A 21434-nucleotide genomic window follows, 5' to 3' on the forward strand; every position below is an offset into this window, starting at 1 on the left:
ATGATTCTAAAATTTATATGTCAGGCCAAAAAATCTGTAATAGCCAAAACTATTTTGAAAAGAAAGAACTAAGTTGAAGGGCTCAAATTTCCTTACTTCAAAACTTACAATAAAGCTACAATAATCAATACAGTGTGGTATTGTTGAAAGAATAAACACATAAATCAATGGGACAGAATACTCAGAATAGACCACACATACATGCTCAACTGATTTTCAACAAAGGTACAAACACAATTCAATAAGAGAAGGATAATCTTTTCATTGTGGTGCTAGCACTATTGGACATTCATATGCACAACAGAATCTCTATCTATACCTTACATCATGTATAAAAATTAACTTAAAATGGATCAGAACTAAATATACAACCTAAAAATGTAAAACGTCTTGAAGAAAGCACTGGAGAAAATCTTAATGACTCCACATTAGGTTAGTATTTCTTAGATATAACAGCAAAAGCATAACACATCTTTAAAAATTGATAAATTGAATTTCATCACAATTAAAGACTTCTGTCATGCAGTAACAGGCATTGTTAAAGAGAATGAGAAGACAAGCTACAGGCAGCGAGAAAATATTTGCCAAACACGTACCCAATAAAAGATTAATGTCCAGAATATATAAAGAGCTCTCAAATCTAAATCATAAGGAAACAAACAATCCAATAAAACTTGGGCAAAAGACTTAAACAGATACTTCACCAAAGACAATATATGTTTGGCAAATAAGTACAAAGATGTTCAACATCAGTAGTCACTAAGGAAATTCAAATTAAAAACACAATATGATAAAACTATACCTATTAGAATGTCTAAAATTTTTAAAATCTGACAATACCAAGTACTGACAAAGATGTGGAAAATATAACCCTCATATATTACTACCAGGAATGCAAAATGGTACAGCCACTTTGGAAAACAGTTTGGTATTCCATTACATTTACCATACCTCCCAGAAACCCCAATCCTAGATATTTACCCAAGTGAAATGAAATCTATGTTCACCTAAAAATCTGTTCACAAACATTGATAGTGAGTTGTTCATTATCACCTCAAACTGGAAACAGCCCAAATGTCCTTCAACTGGGGAATAGGTAAACACACGGTGATACGTCTTTACAATGAAATAATACTCAGCAACAAAAACGAATAACCTATTGATATACCCACCACCATGGATGAATCTCCAACACATTAATGCTAAGTGAAAGCAGGCACACTAAAAAGCCTACAAACCATGACTCCATTTATATGACATTCCGAGATAGGAAAGAACACAGGGAGAGAAAGCAGATCAGTAACTGCCAAGGTCTGCATGGTGGGAGAGCAGACAACAAAAGCTCACAAGGCAATTCTGGGAGGTGATGGAGCTCTTCTGTATCTCAATTGTGATGGTGCCTATATGACTATATATACATTTGTCAAAATTCAGAACTGAACTTCCTCATAATTATGTATTAATTGTTCAGAATTGTACATTAAAACAGGTGAATTTTACTGTATATAAATTATATCTACTTTTTTACATGAGAAAGAAAAAGAGTCTTCAAAAAAACCTATTATGATGCAGCATTGAAAAGAAAAGTTATTGTGTACCTGGGAAAATGCTGATCATTTGTCAAACAATGGAATAAAAAGACAGTAGAAACTGCCAAATTTACCAGACCAGAATACACCGAAACTAGGAAAAGTTGGTGTGACTGATTTATGTGCAACAGATGATCAGGTAGATACTGAATATTTATTTTTTTCAAAGTTTCCAGTTAACTTTTAGAAAAAGATATCTAACTTTTAGCAATATTACTTATAGAAAAGCTAGAACTCAAAATTTAATCTAAAGAATACATAGACAAAACCCTGGTAGACTTTAATATTCCTCAGACTTATTCTGTCAATCCTAAAGGTGCCAAAAATGTCAAAATTGTGGGCACATACAAAACTGGCCAAGGGAAGCAAAGACAATTAATAGTTCAATCTCACTTAGGACTACAGATGTAAAAAACCAAAATAAAATATTAGAAAATCAAAGTCACTGGGGTATTTTTTTTTTAAAAAAACTATACATTATGACTAAGTGTTTATTCCAGGAAGGCAAGAATGCATCAACATTCAAAAATCATGAACACAGATTATGAAAAACAGCATTTCACCTTGAAATCATATGTAACTCTGATAGATTATATCAGTTATCACATTATCATAGTTCAGAAGGATCTTTATATTTTGATTATAATGATGAAAAAACTGGTATGCAATTTCAAAAATTAAGGTATATTGTAATTTAGAAACTTTTCTAAAATTGTCTATATGAAAGGAAGTGCTTTTTCCTGAGAAACTATAAAGTGATACGAATCTTAGTGGCTATAATTTGGAATAAAGAAAATATAAGAATCCATCTTTTATCATGCTATTACCTTTATTTTTTCTCTTCAGCTGGCCCGAATTGGTTTCTGTTAATTTTGAAGAATCCTTCCTAATACACAAATCAAAGAAATAATAGAAACAATTACATAGTGAAACATCAAATCAGGTTGACATCACAAACATCTGGAAAGCTTTGTTAAACCAGAGATTCCCTGACCCCACCAAGGTAGTCTGGGCTGGGACTGGGGAGCCATAGATTATTTTTCAAACAAGGTTCCCAAAGAGATTTTGTTATCAGCCAGTTCTGGAACCACTGCTATGAGGAAACAGAGGCATTAACATGTCCTTCCCTTGATGTTTTTTCAGTATAGTTACAGATATAAAATTTTAGCATGAGAAAAATTAAACAAATGATAAAAACATACCATAATAATTTATGACTTGTCTCTGTAAAAAGAATTTTACAGGGACTTATTTCTAGAGAAGTTGAGGCTGAAAAGGTCAGAGGCAGCCTCTGGGGGCAGTATCTGACAGTTATTAGGAACTTAACTCATTCCCTGAACAAATGTTTAAGGATAGAAGAACCTGTCAATCAAACAGACAAGTGAAGAATATTCCAGGTGAGGATGAACTCACAGTCACAGTCAGAGACACAGGAAAGTATCAATTGGGCTGAGACAAGAAGTCTGGTTGTAGTGGGATCAAGGAGTGTGGGGGTGGCTGCTATGAGACTGGGCTTGGAGGTCAGATTATAGAGGCCTGTGAATGGCTTAAGGCTGTTCTGTGTGAAACAGGGAGCCACCGGGGGTTCCTGAAGGTGGTGACACAGTCAGACTATGTTTTAGATCAACAAAGCAATCAAGTGTACGATGTATTTGGGCTACAGAGAAGCCACAGTTAATACTCCAAGTGTGAGCTAGTACGGTCTGGTCAGGAAAAAATAGTAATATCAAAGTAAAACCAAGTGTTTCTCTGCCTGGGATAATCAGCAGGCCCACAGGGGAGGAGCTGAGTCCCTAGGTGCCTGCCCAATCACAATAAGAAGCCTGAGAACTCCCTAAAACATACTATTGGGTAACATCAGTAGCAACTGCGTTGATTGTATCATGTATACCATGAGTGACTATTGGAAAGGCAGGAGCTTTTGATAGTAATCAGAGGCAGGTTGCAAGATAAGAACTGTTCCTCCAGGCACGTTCTAAAGCCACCTGCTGCTTCCTCATGAACATACTCGTTTCCACAAGATCAGCAACCAAGTGATTACGAAAATGATCACCCTGTTGACACTAATAGGAAAATACCAAATGGAAATTTAACTTGGACAATGGGGAAGTTTAGGAATACATCTGCTTGAGTCATGTTCTGTGAATGGACTCAGTACTTGGCTGGAAAGATGCATAAAGCTCAGGAGAAAAGTTAGAATGAAGTATACCTAGCCCTACAGAAGACATAACTGAAGAAGTGAGGTGAATGAGTGGAAAGTGCCTTCTCATGGAGTGGCACACAGCAAATCCCTTAGAATCTTCTCTGAGCACCTCCATTTACCCCATTAGCCAGTCCTTCCACCCAGATGTACTGAGCACCTGTGGTGTGTCAGGCACCAGGCTATGAGTAAGGATACAAGATGAACCACAGCTGGTGACCTCCAGGAGCACAGTGCCTAGCAGGACACTACCCTTACGACCACAGCACAAGCACAGGTTGCCAAGCACGTGTTCATCTGCCTACAGCCTCATCAGATGAGTAGAGAAGGGCTTCTCTGTCCATTTAAAGGTGCACAATCTGAGACCTGGAGATACCACGTCACATAGCAGAAGACAGTGCTGAAGCTAGCCCCCAAACCCGGGGCATCTTCCTGGTGTTTCCCACAGCCTCAGATGACATTCCATGTAGTCTGACCCCAGGAAAGGGGAACAGCACTCGGTATCCAGGGGCCCTGAAGCAGACAGATGGCAGTGATCACAGGCCAGATAAAGGTAGGACATTCACTCCTGCTCCCCATTGGACCCTCAGACTAAAGAGGACAGCCTTAAAGGACTCTAGAGAAGCAGGTGGGCAGATGAGGGAACCAATGTGTATCCATTCTTCCTGCCTATGTCAGGCCGTTCACCTTCCTATGCCATCACCATCCTCCACCAGGATAGGTAGTGATGAGAACTCTGGCTGATGCTGGCTCTACTACTTGGATTTTTTTTTTAGACGAAGTCTTGCTCTTGTTGCCTAGGCTGGAGTGCAGTGGTATGATCTCAGCTCACTGCAACCTCTGCTCCTGGGTTCAAGTGATTCTCTTGCCCCAGCCTCCCGAGTAGCTGGGATTACAGGAGGCTGCCATCACACCTGGATAATTTTGGGATTTTTAGTAGAGATGGGGTTTCACCACGTTGGTCAGGCTGGTCCTGAACCCTGACCTCAGGTGATCCACCCGCCTTGGCCTCCCAAAGTGCTGGGATTACAAGCGTGAACCACGGTGCCCAGCCACCACTTGGCATCTTAGGCCAGAGTTTCCTCTTCAGTCCAATGCAAAGGTCAAGTGGACCTGACCCTTAGTCCTAACACCCTGTGATTCCAGAACTAGGAAGTGAGCTACAATATATGAGGCATGAAAAGAGAACACAAAGCCCCAGAAACCCAAAAGTCTTCTACGGGCCTCTGGGCTTTCACTCTGGCCACCCAATTGCCTCTTAATATTTTTGATCGAGTATAAAATAAAACAATTTCAGATGTTTCAGAAATATTATTGGCAGCAGAGGGAAAACAAGGCCAGAATGAAAACCACCCCCAAAATAAACCTCAGGACAAGCACACCTGCATGTTTGGGAGTGCGCTGCAAGGTCAAAGGTGTTGTGCCAGGGCCCAGCAAGGAAGGAGCTAACAGCCTTCAGACACCGGAGCCAAATGTTCCTGCCTTCCTCTCTCCTGGCAAATGCTTACCCTCCCTTCCTCCTCTCCATTTTTGAGGCCTTCCTGCATCACTCTAGCCCCTGAATTTCTTGTCATCCTTTAATTCTGTTAATGAAACTTGGAAATTGCATGTTGTCCCTGTTTTCTAATTACCTATGTGTTAGCTCTCTTGCTACCCACCCAGAGTCTCTTAGCATAGACACATTACCTTTGTTTTTTGTTGTTGTTGTTTGTTTGTTTCTTGAGACGGGGTCTCACACTGTCGCCTGGGCTGGAGTGCAGTGGCGCCATCTTGGCTCACTGCAAGCTCCGCCTCCTGGGTTCATGCCATTCTCCTGCCTCAGCCTCCCGAGTTGCTGGGACTACAGCCGAGTAGCTGGGACTACAGACGCCCGCCACCACACCTGGCTAATTTTTTGTATTTTTAGTAGAGACGGGGTTTCACCGCGTTAGCCAGGATGGTCTCAATCTCCTCACCTTGTGATCCACCTGCCTTGGCCTCCCAAAGTGCTGGGATTACAGGCGTGAGCCACCGTGCCTGGCCCACATTTACCTTTGTTTTATAAGCCTCTACAGAGCTCAATAGAAAGTAGACATCATTAGTGTCTGCTGGTTGATTTACAAGTCATTATATAGACCTGGAGAACACTGCCCGGTATATATAATAAAAGCTATTCTTTGTTTTGTGCCTATTTATATTCCTATATTCATTTAATTTTTATAACCGCCCTCATTGTCAGATGACAAAACTCAAGTCAGCTCACAGAGGTTAAAACCCATGCCCAAGAACACCCAGCCAGTAAGTGAATGGGATGGAACTGAACCCAAGTTTAACACCAAAGATCACATTCTGCCTGGCTGCCTCCTCCTGCCAGAAACCTGAATGAGACCTACTATACATCAGAAATCCTCATCTCTGAAAACAAGAAAGGTAAACAGCATCCTCAACTATAAAAGCCCCAAGTTGCAGGTGTTCGGTTCCCCCAAAGATTATGAGAAATAACCCATAAGGTCCTGGATTAACAAATTAGCATCAGATCTGAGCGCCCAGAGCCAAGGGAAAAAAAATCAAGAAGCAGGTCTGAAAGAAAAGGAAATCCTCTCCTCATCCCTTTTCTTTTGTCTCCAAAGGGGCTTTCTGTCTCCAGAGGGCTCTGCACTGAAGACCCAGGGAAGGAGAGGAGCAGAGGGTGGAAGGGGGGCAAGGAAGTACCAACAGAGGGGGGATGGGGACAACGTGGGAAATCTAAGAAGCTGGATCTACACAAAAATTTCCACAGCTCCCTAGTGGGGTGCCCATTCACCCTCAGACACTGAAGTACAGTGAGCAGGAGGGCAGGGAAAAGAAGGTGGTGGGAGCATCTGGAAACACAGCCTTACCTTCCAGCCCATGAGGCAGCAACTGTTGCTGGCTCTCCTCCTGCCCCAGCTGACTGGGCTGGCTGTCAGTAAATTTCATGGGGGCTGCAGCCCTCACACACCAGGTGCATGCAACAAGGAGGAGGGATGCACCTGTTGGCCCGCAGTGCAAATACGGAGGTCCACCCACCTTGAGTTTGTGAGGGGAATGCATTTGCTCAACCTGTTGGCATCAAACGAATGGAAAAGTGTGCAGCCAAAACTCAAGGAAGAATAAAGAGAATCCATCTGCAGAATGGTGCAGGTGGGAGAGGGGCGTGGCTTGTATGGGCACTGCTTCCCCGCACAACCATGTCTGCCTGCTTGTAAGGTAGGAGGCTGGGGGAGCACAGGGAAGAGATAGAAGTCACATGGCATAGGAGCTCATCACAGTGACATCGTTCTGTCCCACTCTGGCTCACTGCTGGACGGTTCCTTGATTCTGAGCACTCAGGCCACCCAATAGACCCTGCTCAGGCCTAAGCATCCACATGGACATTTTCCATGCAAATGGCCCTGCCTCATGTCCTCTGCATGCACCCTCTGCTGGCCAAGTTGAGCGAGGACATTGTCTTTTGTTGGGAAAGGATACTTTTTAAGTGTTGTTTCTAAATTTTACTACATTTGCTGAAAAGACAGGACAGGAAGCTTTTAAGAATGAACAATCTCCCAGCCTGTGTGGGTTGGTTTGAGCTGTGAGAGGTGCAGCTGGGCTTCCAAGTAGGCTTATATTTCCAGACTCCCAAGTATTGTTCTCAGAAAGATACTAAATAAGACACCCCATACTCATGGGACACTGTACCCATGTCCCCAAGCAAGGCTGCATTCTGAAACCCCCACCCCACCTTATGAACTTCCTAAAAGACAGACAAGCCAACTAGTTGTGTTTCAAACTCTAGGCTCATCTTATATTTTGAGGATAAAAGCAAGGGGTCATTCTCAAAGACACTGAGTATATGGTGACCCCAGCGCATTCACAATCTATGCCTCTGAGACCAGCAAAGATCTCCCTAGCCAGAGACCCAGAACCTTTCCCCACCCTTGGAACTCAAAGGCCTCTCCCCTCTGCACCATCTGGGTCACCTCCTTCTCTGACAAGCCTTCTCAGCAGATTACCCCCGCCACCTGCCAGCCAGGAGCCCCTCCTCTGCAGTGACTGTAGCTGTCTGTCTACCATTTTCAGGCAGCAGGTGGGGCCACCTGGCCTTACCAGTTAGCCTAGGAATGTTCCAAGGCCTAGTCTGCTCTGCATATGTTTTCTAAGATCTGGCCCCTGGGGAAGCAGCCCCTGATGAAGGGGTGAGCAAACCTCACACAAACAGCAACTACTCTGGCTGGGTGCAGTGGCTCATGCCTGTAACCCAGCACTTTGGGAGGCAGAGGTGGGCGATCACTTGAGCCCATTAGACTAGTATGGACAACATGGTAGGACCCCATCTCTACAAAAAATCCAAAAAACTAGCCAGGTGTGGTGGCACACACCTGTAGTCCCTGCTACTCAGGAGGCTGAGGTGGAGGATTCCTTGAGCCTGGTAGGTCAAGGTTGCAGTGAGCTGAGATCACGCCACTGTACTCCAGCCTGGGCAACAGAGCCAGACCCTGTCTCAAAATAAAAAATAAAAATAAAAATAAGACAAGGAAACATCTACAATGCTGCAGCTACCCTCCTCCTCAGCTAGCCAGTTATTACACAAAAGAAACTGAACATGGGAGATAAACCAGCATAAATGCTTCCCCACTGTGGGGTGGTTCTCCAAGCTCATGCTTAGCTGCAAATGAGGTCCAGCATCCTTTGTATCATCAGTGAACAATGAGACAGACCTGCACATCTTGGCAAAAAAAGCTCTTGTGCATGTCCCCAGAGTACCCGCTACCCAATCCAGCATCCAGAGTCCAACCACTCCGGACCCAGGACCAACTGCTCAGGTTCCTCCCAGACCCAAGGCTCCTGGCCCACTGAGAGTGGGAGAAAAAGGGGTAACCTCACTCTGGGCAGGAAGGAAAATTCCATGCTGCCCTAGAGCACTGTGGTGCCAGCAGCATCATCCTCCACAGTCCCACAGTGTGCAGGCGGGGAAGAGACTAAGAGAATCACGGAAGAGAGAAGGAGGTCAAGAATTTAAGAGAAAAGAAAACAGTTCTATTAGAACCCTAAATGCCTTGTAGGAACCTAGTAAAGTCACCAGATGCACCTACACTTCTCCCAGAGACTTGCATTGTTGATTCCTGATTCTTTGAAGTGTGGGCGGGGTTCCCCAAATGGTCCTCCTAAGCCCACCATCTGGAAATAATTTATTGATAAGTGCATTTTGACAAAAAGTATTCCATTCAGGTGGAGAAGAACACAGCCTCTCTTGGAAGGGGGATGCAGCTCCAGGGCAGGCTCTCAAAGGCTGTGGGGTGGGCGGGTCATTGCATATACTCTGGTCTTTGCACTTGGGGAGAGGAGGGATGGTAAAAACCAACGGCCTGAGGTCTGGCATCATGCCCACTGCCCAGGTGTTTCCCTACACCCACCCAGCTCCCTGAATCACAACAGCTAATTTTACTCCCTCTAGACTCTAGTAGAGCTGGGTCTTCTCCTTCTGGCTACGAAATAGAAAGTGCCCCGCACCCCAACACACACACCCCAATCTAAAAAAAATATATATCCTTGAAACCATTTCCCCATCAGCCCATCTTCACATCTGCAATGCCACTCCTAGAAATTCAGTCCTTTGGGTCTTGAAGGGTTTTAGTTCCATAAGTTCCAGGGAGGGGTCTACCTCAACCATTGACAACTCACATCTCCTGAGAAGTTTATCCAAAACTTTCCAACTGCAATCATCGGCGAACAAGGTCCCTCAACAATGGGACCCCAGTTAACGCGAAGGAGGCAGAGCGAGGTAAGGAGCTTAAATGAGGAGTATGGAGTAGGAACAAGTCTGCAAAGCCCGCGCCCCAGCTTCGCCTGGGATGGCCAGGTCTGGCACTCGCGGGCCGCCTTCCCCGCCCTACCTTCCCGGAATCACATTTGGGCTGGAAGGACCTTCACGTGGCACCCCCTTCCCAGAGGCCGTCACCGAGTCCTCTAGCGAGGGTCTGGGAGCTGGGAGAAGGGTCCGCTTCTCCTCCGCCCCTCAAATCAAAGGCACCCCCTTCGGATGATTCCTAGAAAGGCAATCGCATCAGTGTCCCCAAGCACTTCATCTCCCCAAAAGAAAACTCGTGCAGCCTGGCGTCACTGGGGTCGTCTCCTTACGCCCCTGACTCCTCGCCGCACCCCGGGGCCCCTCTCCATTAGGGGAGTCGGGAGGCACAGACGGTGGGGGTCCCAGCCCCCACCCAGAACTCCCACCCTCGGAGCCTTGACTTCCAGGGCCCGCGCCTGGACAAAAGCATGGGGCGGGCTCACTCACCCGCGCGGCGAAGGCGGCCCGGGAGCCGGGGCACCGGCGCTCGGCGGGGCGCCCCGGCCGCAGGCGCACAGCGCGGGCTCCGAGCTCGCTCAGCGCCCTGCTGCCGACCGGGCGGCGCGGGGAGCCCGCGAGGCGCGTCCGGGACTGGGCAGGGCGGGGCGGGGCGGGGCGGGGCGGGGGTGAGCGAACCGGCGAGAGAGAGAGCAAGTGGGAGAGCGGAGAGCGGACGCGCGCTGAGGAGAGCGAGTGAGAGCGCGGCGCTACGGGGTCAGGACTCAAACCACCCGCTCCAGCCCCCATGCACTGATTTGCATGACATTTGCATAGCGCTCGGGGAGTGGACCTGCTGCCCTTCCCGCCACGCCCACCCGCCTTCTGCCTCGGAGTCCGGAGCGGAGAATCCGCAGCCAAACCTAGCGCCAGACCCGGGCCCCCCTCGCACTTATCCTGCACCGCCCCAGTTAACTCCTCGCAGGCGGCGGTCAGCGGGCTGGTACTGTCTTGGTGCGTGTCTTAGTCCTACACTGGGAGACCTAGGCCTTAGGTCGGGGTCTGATGCTAGCTTCGTGAGCGTGCATGAGACACTGGCTGCCTCTGGGCCTCAGTTTTCTAATCTGTAAAATGAAGATGTCAGCGGAACCATGGGGCTAAAGTTTTAGTGCTGGAAGGTTGTCTATGTAGTTTTTTTCAGACATCCTCCAGTGGTGCAACTCAGCCCCATGGTTCCTCTGACATCCTCCCTTTGTGTGTGTTAAGAATCTCTCATTGGTTTGGAAGATACCTACAAAGTTCTTTAAATTAAAAAAGGGGAAAGGGGAGGGGGGGGAGGGGAGGGGGAGGAGGTGTTTCTGGTTTTGGCTTGCTTTATATTTAGTTTGCACCCAATATGAAATATTTTATAGCTTCTGATCTCTTCACTTGGACCTTCTTTTGTTTTTTTTAAAAAAACTGTTTACTGCAGGTTAAGGAGTGTTTTTAAAAATTTTTTAATTGTAAAATAAAACATAAATACAGAAAACCACAAAAAACAAATATATAGATATATAGACTAGTGAATTATTATAAAGGGAACATCCTTGTAATCACCACCTGGATCAAGAAATAGAACTCTGCCAGCCACCCCAGGAGCCTCTCCATGTGCCCTACCTCAATGACAACCCCCTTTCTCCCTCCTCCCAAAAGTAACCACTAACCTGACTTTCATGTAGTCACTTCTGCTGCTTTTGTTTTTCTTGGTATCTTCCAAGGGTGCACCTTACCCCTCCCCCCACTCTTTTTTTTTTTAATTTGATTTGCCTTTTCAGTCTTTTCCTTACAATTATTTGTTAAATAACTTAAGCCCTTGATCTGTGAGGTTTTCCAGAGTCTGGGGGTTGCACATTCATGAGGCAATTCAGCATGTTTCTCTGTCCTCTGTATTGACAGCAAGTTGGCAGCTGATCCAGGGTCTTCCTCAGACTGAAGTTTGATGTCTTTTGTAAGATTATAGATGGTTGTGTGTTCTTTTCTTCAAGAGGTACATGATCATGATGTCTGGTGTTTGCTCTTTTTTGAGGTTAACAGCCGTCGATGCTCAATTCCTAGATTCATTAATTAATTGAAGTTTGCAAAATCATGGTATTCTAATAATTTTGTTTTCATTTATTAGTTCATAAGTGGATAAGGAGATGCTTCCTCTCATCTACTATTTGATTACCCTGAGATAGGAAAGGCACGATGAATACCTGCTTTTTTTTAAAAAAATTACCCAGTTTTCAAGTTAAGGAATTGATTCTCTGTCATTCTTAGATTTCTTTAATATCATTATAAATTCATGAATTTAAATATATTTGATAGGTTTCCATCTACGATATTAGAGCTCAAATTGTCCCATCTTTGGCCAGTAGGAGCTTCTTCAATATGGCTCCTGGCTCCTTTTGATAAGATTCTAGTAGTCTTTTTTTTTTTCTCTCTCTCTCTCTCTCACTAGTGTGCAAAGAGCTTCAAAGACCCTAGAAGTCTTTGATAGCTTCCTTGCTATCTGATATGACAAGATGTTCCAGGCACATCTGTACATTTGCTGCCTCAAACCTGGAATCAGCCATTTCTCCAAGAAGCTCTAGTTTTTTTGTTTTTTCTTTCCTTCCTTCCTTCTCTCTCTCTTTTTCTTTCTTTTTTTCTTTCTTTCTTTCCTTCTTTCCTTCTTTCCTTCTTTCTTTCTTTCTTTTCTTTCAGATGGAGTCTCACTCTGTCACCAGGCTAGAGTGCAGTGGCACGATCTCGGCTCACTGCAACCTCCACATCCCTGGTTCAAGGGATTCTCCTGCCTCAGCCTCCTGAATAGGTGGGATTATAGGCACGTGCCACCACACCCAGCTAATTTTTGTATTTTTAGTAGAGACGGGGTTTCATCATGTTGGCCAGGATAGTCTCAATCTCTTGACCTCGTGATCTGCCCACCTCGGCCTCCCAAAGTGCTGGGATTACAGGCATGAGCCACCCCGCCTGGCCAGAAGCTCTAGTTTCTTTTGTTGAAATTTTAAGATAACAATATGAGCACTAGGAGTATTCATTGTTACTAGGTTGGTAACTGTTTCTAGGCCTTTTCAATAGACAGAGCTACTAAAGAATACTTCATTTTTTTATATTCTAGAGAAATATTATTCTTCATAATATTTTCATCAGTTTATATTATTTCCAATTTAATTTCAGGACTGTAGTTTTTACTTAACATATATTACATTAGGACCTCTTTTCTTTCATGTAGAGAATTCTGGTTCTCAAGGACAAAAGGGAGGATGAAATTAGAATATCCCAATTTACTAATTTGCTTTAGTTTGCATTAAACATATAATAATAATCTCAGAATAACAATATTAATACTACCATCATCAGTTTTGATTCTTGAAAACAGTTTTTTTTGCATATGCTATCCATCTTTTATAGTTATACTCTATCTAAATTATCAGCTTCTATAGCCATCTATACCATAATCTTCCTATTTAACCCTAATTTAGTCTTAATTTTACAGTTCTACAATTCTAATCCTAATTAAAGTTCAAATATATATTTAATGCTTACCATTAGTTCCTTATGTTTATGTATCTTTAGTCATTTTGGTTGTCTGAAAGCTTGTCCTCTACTAGATTCCTTAGGAAGGGCTCATGGAAAGAATATGCTCTGAGTTCTTGCATGTTGCTTACAGTTTGTTCATGCCATTTTACTTGAAGGTCAATTTTGTTGGATTCAAACTACTTGGTGTCTTGGTCCAGCTGGGTTGCTATAACAACAACAACAAAAAAAAAAAACACAAAATAAGTGGCTTATAAACAAGAAACATTATTTCTTATAGTTCTGGGGGCTGGGAAGTCCAAGATCAAGGCTCCAACAGATTCAGTATCTGTTGAGAGCCCTCTTTCTGGTTTGTAGACGGCACCTTCTCACTTTGCCTAGATGCCCAAATAACTTTATCTTTTTCTTTCAAATCCAGTAATTTTATTAGAATGTTTGTTGGTCATTCTAGTTTGAAAGTAAACAGTGTGTATTTCTTTCAAAATGTGGTTTCAAATACATATATTTTGTTAATTTCAGGAAAATTTTCTTCAATTAAAGTCTTAAATATTTGTTCTGTTTTGGATTGCTTTAGACTGCTTCTCTGGAGACTTCTATTATCTGCATATTGAACCTTTTTTGTCTATCTTCAACATTTGTCACTTTCCCTTAAATCTTTTTAATTTCTTTCTTCATTTGTTTTTAAGTTTATAAATTTCCCTCCTTTTTACCTTATTTTCTTTTAAGTTTTTATTAGTTATATTTATGTGTTCTTGTGTTCCTTATAGGTCAATCTTTATTTCTCAAATGCTTTTTAAAATGTTTAATTCCAAAAAAAAATAAAAAATAAAACGTTTAATTCTTCTGTGAGTTCTGTTCTAATTTCTGAGTTTCTCTAATTCTGATGTATGTTGTTCTTTCATGTTTCATGTCACTCAGTGTGTATTAGCTTTTCTAGGACATTATAGCTTTAATTTTTTTGAGAATATCTTTCTGGAGGTTATTATGATCTTTATTCACTTTGTTGTAGTAGCTATATGAGAGTTGACCTTAGTATTTTTTTTGTTGATCATTTTTACATGAATTTTGTTTTCTTGAACTTTTAAAAGGAGATTTGGTCCAGACAGTTTTTCAAACTTCACAAAGCTTTCCCGTTTGTTGTTTCTGAGTAGTGTCAAAAAATATATATGGTGGCTGGACTTCTAAGATTTCCTGGCTCTGTTTCCCTCACTCACTTTTATCTGGCTCTTCTTTTTCTTTCAACTTGCATTAGTCAGTTTTCACACTGCTATAAAGAGCTACCTGAAACTGGGTAATTTATGAAGAAAAGAGATTTAATTGACTGACAGTTCCTCAGGCTTAACAGGAAGGATGACTAGGGAGCCTCAGGAAACTTACAATCATAGCAGAAGGTGAAGGGGAACCAAGTGCTTTCTTCATATAGTGGCAGGAGAAAGAGAGAATGCAGGGGGAAGTGCCATACACTTTTAAACCATCAGATCTTGTGAGAACTCACTTATTATCATGAGAACAGCAAGGGGGAAATCCACCCCCATGATCCATGATTTAATCACTTCTCACCAGGCCCCTCCTCCAATTCAACATGAGATTTGGGTGGGGACACAAATCCAAATCATATAATTCCACCCCAACCCCTCTCAAATTTCATGTCCTGCTCACATTGCAAAATATAATTATCCCTTCTCAATAGTCTCCCAATCTTAACTCATTTCAACATTAACTCAAAAATCCACAGTCTAAAGTCTCATCTGAGACAAATAAATCCCTTCTGCCTATGAACCTGTAAAATCAAAAACAACTTAGTTACTTCCAAGATGCAAGGGGGATATAGGCATTGGGTAAATGCTACCATTCCAAAAGGGAGAAATTGCAGCCAGGTGCAGTGGCTCACACCTGAAATCCCAACAATTTGGGAGGCCAAGGCAGGTGGATTACTTGAGGTCAGGAGTTCAAGACCAGCCTGGGCAACATGGTGAAACCCTGTCTCTACTAAAAATATTTTTAAAATTAGCCAAGTGTGGTGGCACGTGCCTGTAATCCCAGCTACTTGGAGGCTGAGGCAGGAGGATTGCTTGCACTGAGGAGGTAGAGGCTGCAGTGAGCCAAGATCGTGATACTGCACTCCTGTCTGGGCAACAGAGGGAGACACAATCTCAAATAAAAAAAAGGGAGAAATTGACCAAAACAAAGGGGCTACAGGCCTCATGCAAATCCAAAACTCAGCAGGGAAGTCATTAAATCTTAAAGCTCTAAAATAATCTCTTTTGAATTCATGTCTCACATCCAGGGCATGCTGATGCAAGGATGCTCTTCCAAGTCCTTGGGCAGCTCCACCCCAGTGGGTCTGCAGGGTATAGCCCCTGTGGCTACTTTCACAGGCTGGCATTGAGTGCCTGCAGCTTTTCCAGGTGCATGGTGCAAACTGTTGGTGGATCTACCATTCTGGGGTCTGAAGGATGGTGGCCTGCTTCTCACAGCTCCACTAGGCAGTGCCACAGTGGGGACTCTGTGTGGGGGCTCCAACTCCACATTTCCCCTCCACACAAACCTAGTGGAGGTTCTCCATAAGGCCTCTGCCCCTGCAGCAGACTTCTGCCTGGACACCCAGGCATTTCCATACATCCTCTGAAATCTAGGTGGAGGTTCATGAATTAGTCCATTTTCAAGCTGTTGATAAAGATATACGTGAGACTGGGAAGAAAAAGAAGTTTAATGGACTTACAATTTCATATGGCTGGGGAGGCCTCACAATCATGGTGGAAGTCAAGGCAGAGCAAGTCACATCTTACATGAATGGCAGCAGGCAGAGGGAGGGCTTGTGCAGAGAAACTCCCATTTTTAAAACCATCAGATCTTGTGAGACCCATTCACTATCATGAGAACAGCACAGGAAGGACCCATCCCCATGACTCAATCATCTCCCACCAGGTCCCTCCCACAACACATGGGAATTATGGGAGCTACAAGATGAGATTTGGGTGGGGACACAGAGCCAAACCATATTATTCTGCCCCGGCATCTCCCAAATTTCATGTCCTCACATTTCAAAACCAATCATGCCTTCCCAATAGCCCGCCAAAATCTTAAATCATTTCAGCATTAACTCAAAAGTCCACAGTCCAAAGTCTCATCTGAGACAAGGCAAGTCCCTTCCACCTATAAACCTGTAAAATCAAAAGCAAGTTAGTTACTTCCTAGATACAATGAAAGTACAGGCATTGGGTAAATATGGCCATTCTAAATGGGAGAATTTGGCCAAAATAAAGGGACTATAGGCCCCATGCAAGTCCGAAATCCAGCAGGGCAGTCAAATCTTAAAGCTCCAAAATGACCTCCTTTGACTCCATGTCTCACAACCAGGTCACACTGATGTGAGAGGTGGGTTCTCATGGTCTTGGGCAGCTCTGCCCCTGTGGCTTTGCAGGATGTAGCCTCCCTCTTGGCTGCTTTCATGGGCTGGCATTGAGTGTCTGTGGTTTTCCAGGCGAATGGTGCAAGCTGTCAGTGGATCTACCATTCTGGGGTCTGGAGGACAGTGGCCCTCTTCTCACAGCTCCACTAGGCAGTACCCTAGTAGGGACTCTGTGTCGGGGCTCTGACCTCACATTTCCCTCCCACACTGCCCTAGCAGAGGTTCTCCATGACTTCCCTGCCCCTGTAGCAAACTTCCACCTGGGCATCCAGGCATTTCCATACTTCCTCTGAAATCTAAGTGGAGGTTTCCAAACCTAAATTTTTTACTTCTGTGTACCTGCAGGCTCAACACCATGTGGAAGCTGCCAAGGCTTGGGGCTTGCACCCTCTGAAGCCACAGCCCAAGCTCTATATTGGCCCCTTTTAGCCAGCTGGAACAGCTGGGACACAGGGCACCTAATCCCCAGGCTGCACACAGCACAGGGATCCTGGGCCTGGTCCATGAAACCACGTTTTCCTCCTAGGCCTCCTGGCCTGTGATGGGAGGGGCTGCCACAAAGGTCTCTGACATGGCCTGGAGACATTTTCCCCATTGTCATGGGGATTAACATTTGGCTCCTGTTACTTATGCAAATTTCTGCAGCAGGCTTGAATTTCTCCTCAGAAAATGGGATTTTCTCTTCTATTGCATTATCAGGCTGCAAATTTTCTGAACTTTTATGCTCTGCCTCCCTTATAAAACTGAATGCCTTTAACAGCACCTAAGTCACCTCTTGAATGCTTTGCTGTTTAGAAATTTCTTCTGCCAGATACCCTAAATCATCTATCTCAAGTTCAAAGTTCCACAAATCTCTAGGGCAGTGGTAAAATGCTGTCAGTCTCTTTGCTAAAACATAACAAGAGTCACATTTGCTCCAGTTCCCAACAAGTTCCTCATCTCCATCTGAGACCACCTCAGCCCGGATTTCATTGTCCATGTTATTATCAGCATTTTTGTCAAAGCCATTCAACAAGTTTCTAGGGAGTTCCAAACTTTCCCACATTTTCCTGTCTTCTTCTGAGCCCTCCAAACTGTTCCAACCTCTGCCTGTTACCCAGTTCCAAAGTTGCTTCCACATTTTCAGGTATCTTTTCAGCAGCACCCCACTCTGCTGTTACCAATTTACTGTATTAGTCCATTTTCACAATGCTAATATGCTAATAAAGACATACCCAAGACTGGGAAGAAAGAGAGGTTTAATGGACTTACAGTTACTCATGGCTGGGGAGGCCTCACAATCATGATGGAAGGCAAGGAGGAGCAAGTCACATCTTACATGGATGGCCGCAGGCAAAGAGAGAGCTTGTGCAGGGAAACTCCCATTTTTAAAACCATCAGGTCTCGTGAGACCCACTAACTATCTTGAGAAAAGCACAGGAAAGACCCGCCCCCATGATTCAATCATCTCCCACTGGGTCCCTCCCACAACACATGAGAATTATGGAAGCTATAAGATGAGATTTGGGTGAGGACACAGAGCCAAACCATATCAGTTCCCAAAAACTCAACTCTTGCCTTCTGTGCACCCCCAGGCCCAACACAACATGGAAGCTGCCAAGGCTTGTGGGTTGCACCCTCTGAAGCAATTGTCTGAGCTGTATCTTGGCCCCTTTTAGTCACAGCTGAAGCTGGAGCAGCTGGGACTCAGGGTGCCATGTCCTGAGGCTGCACAGAGCAGCCAGGCCCTAGGCCTGGCCCATGAAACATTTTTCCCTCCTAGGCCTCCAGGCCTGTGATAGGAGGGGCTACAGTGAAGGTCTCTGAACTGCCCTGGAGACATTTTCTCCATTGTCTTCAATATTAATATTTGGCTCCACTCATGCAAATTTCTGCAGCCAGCTTGACTTTCTGTCCAGAAAATGGGTTTTTCTTTACTACCGTATGGTCAGGCTGCAAATTTTCTAAACTTTCACAAGAACAGCACAGGGGAAATCCACCCCCATGATCCAATCACCTTCCACCAGCCCCCTCCTCCAATTCGACATGAGATTTGGGTGGGGACACAAATTCAAACCATTTCACAACTCTTCCCTGTCATGTTAATTTTTTCACTTTTTTATTGTAGCAAAATATACATAACCCAAAATTTATAATTTTAACCATTTTTTTTTTGAGACGGAGTCTTGCTCTGTTGCCCAGGCTGGAGTGCAATGGTGTCATCTCGGCTCATTGTAACCTCTGCCTCCCAGTTTCAAGTGATTCTCCTGCCTCAGCCTCCCAAGTACCTGGGACTATAGGTGCGTGCCACAACACCTAGCTAATTTTTTGTATTTTTAGTAGAGATGGGGTTTCACCACATTACTCAGGATGGTCTCAATCACCTGACCTTGTGATCCACCCACCTTGGCCTCCCAAAGACCTGGTATTACAGGCATGAGCCACCGTGCCCTGCCAATTTTAACCATTTTTAAAGTATACAATTTAGTAGCATTAAGTACATTCACCATATTGTGTAACTATCTATTTCCAGACTTTTGTCATAATCCCAAACAGAAACTTTGTACACATTAAGCAACATCTCCCATTTCCTCTTCCCTCCAACACCTGGTAACCTTTATTCTACTTTCTGTCTCTATCATTTTGCCTATTCTAGATACCCCATATAAGTGTAATCATATAATATTTATCCTTTTGTGTCTGTCTTATTTCATTCAGTGTAATGTTTTCAAGGTTTATCCAGGTAGAATATATCAAAACTTCATTTTTTTATAGCTGAGTAATATTCATATCTAGCATTATTTTGTTTATCCATTCTTCTGTTAATGGACATTTGGGTTGTTTTTACATTTTGGCTATTATGAATAATGCATAATATGAATATTGGCATATGAGTATTGTTTGAATGACCATTTTCAATTCTTTTAAAAATAAAACATACTTAGGAATGAAATTACTGAGTCATATGTCTATTTTTTTTAACTTTTTTGAGAAACCACCGAACTGTTTCGATGGCTGTACCATTTTACATTCTCACCAGCAATGCACAAGGGTTCCAGTTTTTCCATATTCTCATTAATATATATTATTTTCTATTTTTTGATAGTAATAAACTTAGCAGGTATAAAGTGGTAGTCCATTGTAATTTTGATTTGCATTACCCTAATGACTAAAATTGTGGAGCATTGTTTTTGAGTATCTTCTTTGGAGAAACGTCTATCGAATTCCTTTTCCCATTTTAAAATTGGGTTGTTTTGTTATTAAATTGCAGGGTTCTTTACATATTCTGACTATTAATCCTTTTCTAGATATATGATTAGCAAATATTTTCTCTCATTCTGTAGGTTGCTTTGTTGTCTATGTTATTGATGTCATACCAAAGAAACTATTGCTAAATCCAATATTTCATAAAAATTTTCCCTATGTTTTCTTCTAAGAGTTTTACAGTTTAGCTCTTAAATTTAGGTCTTTCATCCATCTTGAGTTAATGTTTGTACATGGTATAAGGTAAGGGTCCAACTTTATTCTTCTGCATGTGGATATCCAGTTTTCCACCACCATTTGTTGAAAAGACTGTTGTTTACCCATTGATTTCAAACCTCGTTGAAAATAGGCTGACCATATAATGCAAGGGTTTATTTCTAGACTCTCCATTCCATTGGCCCATATGTCTGTGCTTATGCCAGTACCACACTGTTTTGATTACTGTAGCTTTGTAGTAAGTTTTGAAATCAGGAAGTATGAAACCTTCAATTTTGTTGTTCTTTTTCAAGATTGTTTTAGCTATTGGGGGCTCTCTGAGGTTCCATATGGGTTTTAGAATGGGTTCCTTTTATTTCTGCAATAACATTGGGATTTTAATAGGGATTGCATTGAATCTGTAGATCACTTTGGGTAATACTGTCATCATAACACTATTGTCTTCCAATGCATAAACACAGAATGTCTTTCATTTATTTATGTCTTCTTTAATTTCTTTTTAGCAATAAGTTTTCACTGTACAAGTCTTTCACCTCCTTGGTTAAATTTATTCCTAAGTATTTTATCCTTTTTGATGCTATTGAAAATTGAATTGTTTTCTTAATTTCTTTTTCAGATTATTTATTGCTAACATACTTAAATATAACTGATTTTTGTAAGTTGGTTTGTATCATTTCCTATTATGTACATTTTATTCCACTTCTAAAAATTTCTCCTTAGTTTGGAGTCTCGTTCTAAAAAGGAGCCTGAGCTGGTCAGTTTCAAGAGTTAATGGGGGCTAGATTGTACCAGTTCCCCTAAACTCTGGCTAGTGACTAGAGACAAAGAGGATCTGCACAAATACCTGAAGAAGACCATGTCCAAACACACAAACCTAGCACATTATAATGTCTGGTGTGTCAAGACAAAATAAATTTCCTTCAGTGAGAAATTGTCTGTTTCCTTAGGCCTCTTGAAACAATGTAAGTTAGCCCCCACTGCCCCAAAGTGACATTAGTTGTAGAAAATTTTCCTTGGCTTGGTGGGGAGGGGGTGCCCATTTATTTTTACTACCTTTGCAAAAAGTTTATTCTGCAAGTCTGGATCTCCCATCTGTCTATGCACATCCGCTGCACTTCCTTCCTGTCTCTGAATCCTTCCCTGGCTTGGCCCCCTTCACTGCTTGGTCCTTGTTTAAAAATAAATAAATAAATAAGCCAAAGGAGAAGGAAAGGGAAGGAAAAGACAGTAAGATGTCACAATTTATTAATCTTACATGGGTGTTGAATAATATATTAGCTCACCTTAGCTCATGAATGTACTAAATCTATCCAGATCAGCATTGGTGGGCTGAGGCTAAAAGTCTGCTAGTTCTCAAGTCTAGCTGCACAATGGACTCACTTGCAGAGCTTTAAACAAAACAAAACAGAACAAAACAAAACAAAACATGTATGCCTGGGTCTTACCCCC

At 43.0% G+C, this 21434-nt stretch overlaps 2 protein-coding genes across 11 annotated transcripts in view, besides 1 other annotated feature; both read right to left on the reverse strand.

Annotated features, from left to right (window-relative positions):
- MYLK (myosin light chain kinase) overlaps positions 1 to 10190 on the reverse strand; it is a 274284-nt gene extending 264094 nt beyond the window's left edge. For 7 of the 9 annotated variants that reach the window (NM_001321309.2, NM_053028.4, NM_053026.4 and 4 more), the window contains exons 1-2: positions 10064 to 10190; positions 2417 to 2475 (exon numbers count right to left, since the gene is read on the reverse strand). The gene's annotated coding sequence lies outside the window, so the exon portion shown is untranslated. The remainder of the gene's footprint in view (positions 1 to 2416; positions 2476 to 10063) is intronic. The other 2 variants (XM_047448184.1, XM_024453532.2) reach the window with 1 other exon arrangement.
- Positions 10070 to 10229: a silencer, noted in NCBI's record as "silent region_14650". NCBI's record gives its function as "represses an Ori minimal core promoter by ATAC-STARR-seq in GM12878 lymphoblastoid cells {active_cell/tissue: GM12878}" and the evidence as "EXISTENCE:reporter gene assay evidence [ECO:0000049][PMID:35858748]".
- CCDC14 (coiled-coil domain containing 14) overlaps positions 11034 to 21434 on the reverse strand; it is a 76054-nt gene continuing 65653 nt past the window's right edge. Inside the window, exons 9-10 of one of the 2 annotated variants that reach the window (XR_007095720.1) lie at positions 13124 to 13322; positions 11034 to 11643 (exon numbers count right to left, since the gene is read on the reverse strand). Coding sequence is in view for 1 of the 2 variants with exons in the window: in XM_011513081.3 (XP_011511383.2) it covers positions 13263 to 13322 (60 nt within the window). In the remaining variant the exon portion in view is untranslated. Of the gene's footprint in view, positions 11644 to 13123; positions 13323 to 21434 lie in introns of those variants that run through there. The other variant, XM_011513081.3, reaches the window with a different exon arrangement.

This window comes from Homo sapiens, chromosome 3 (assembly GCF_000001405.40).
Source record: "Homo sapiens chromosome 3, GRCh38.p14 Primary Assembly".
In the NCBI taxonomy this organism is placed as follows: Eukaryota; Metazoa; Chordata; class Mammalia; order Primates; family Hominidae; genus Homo; species Homo sapiens.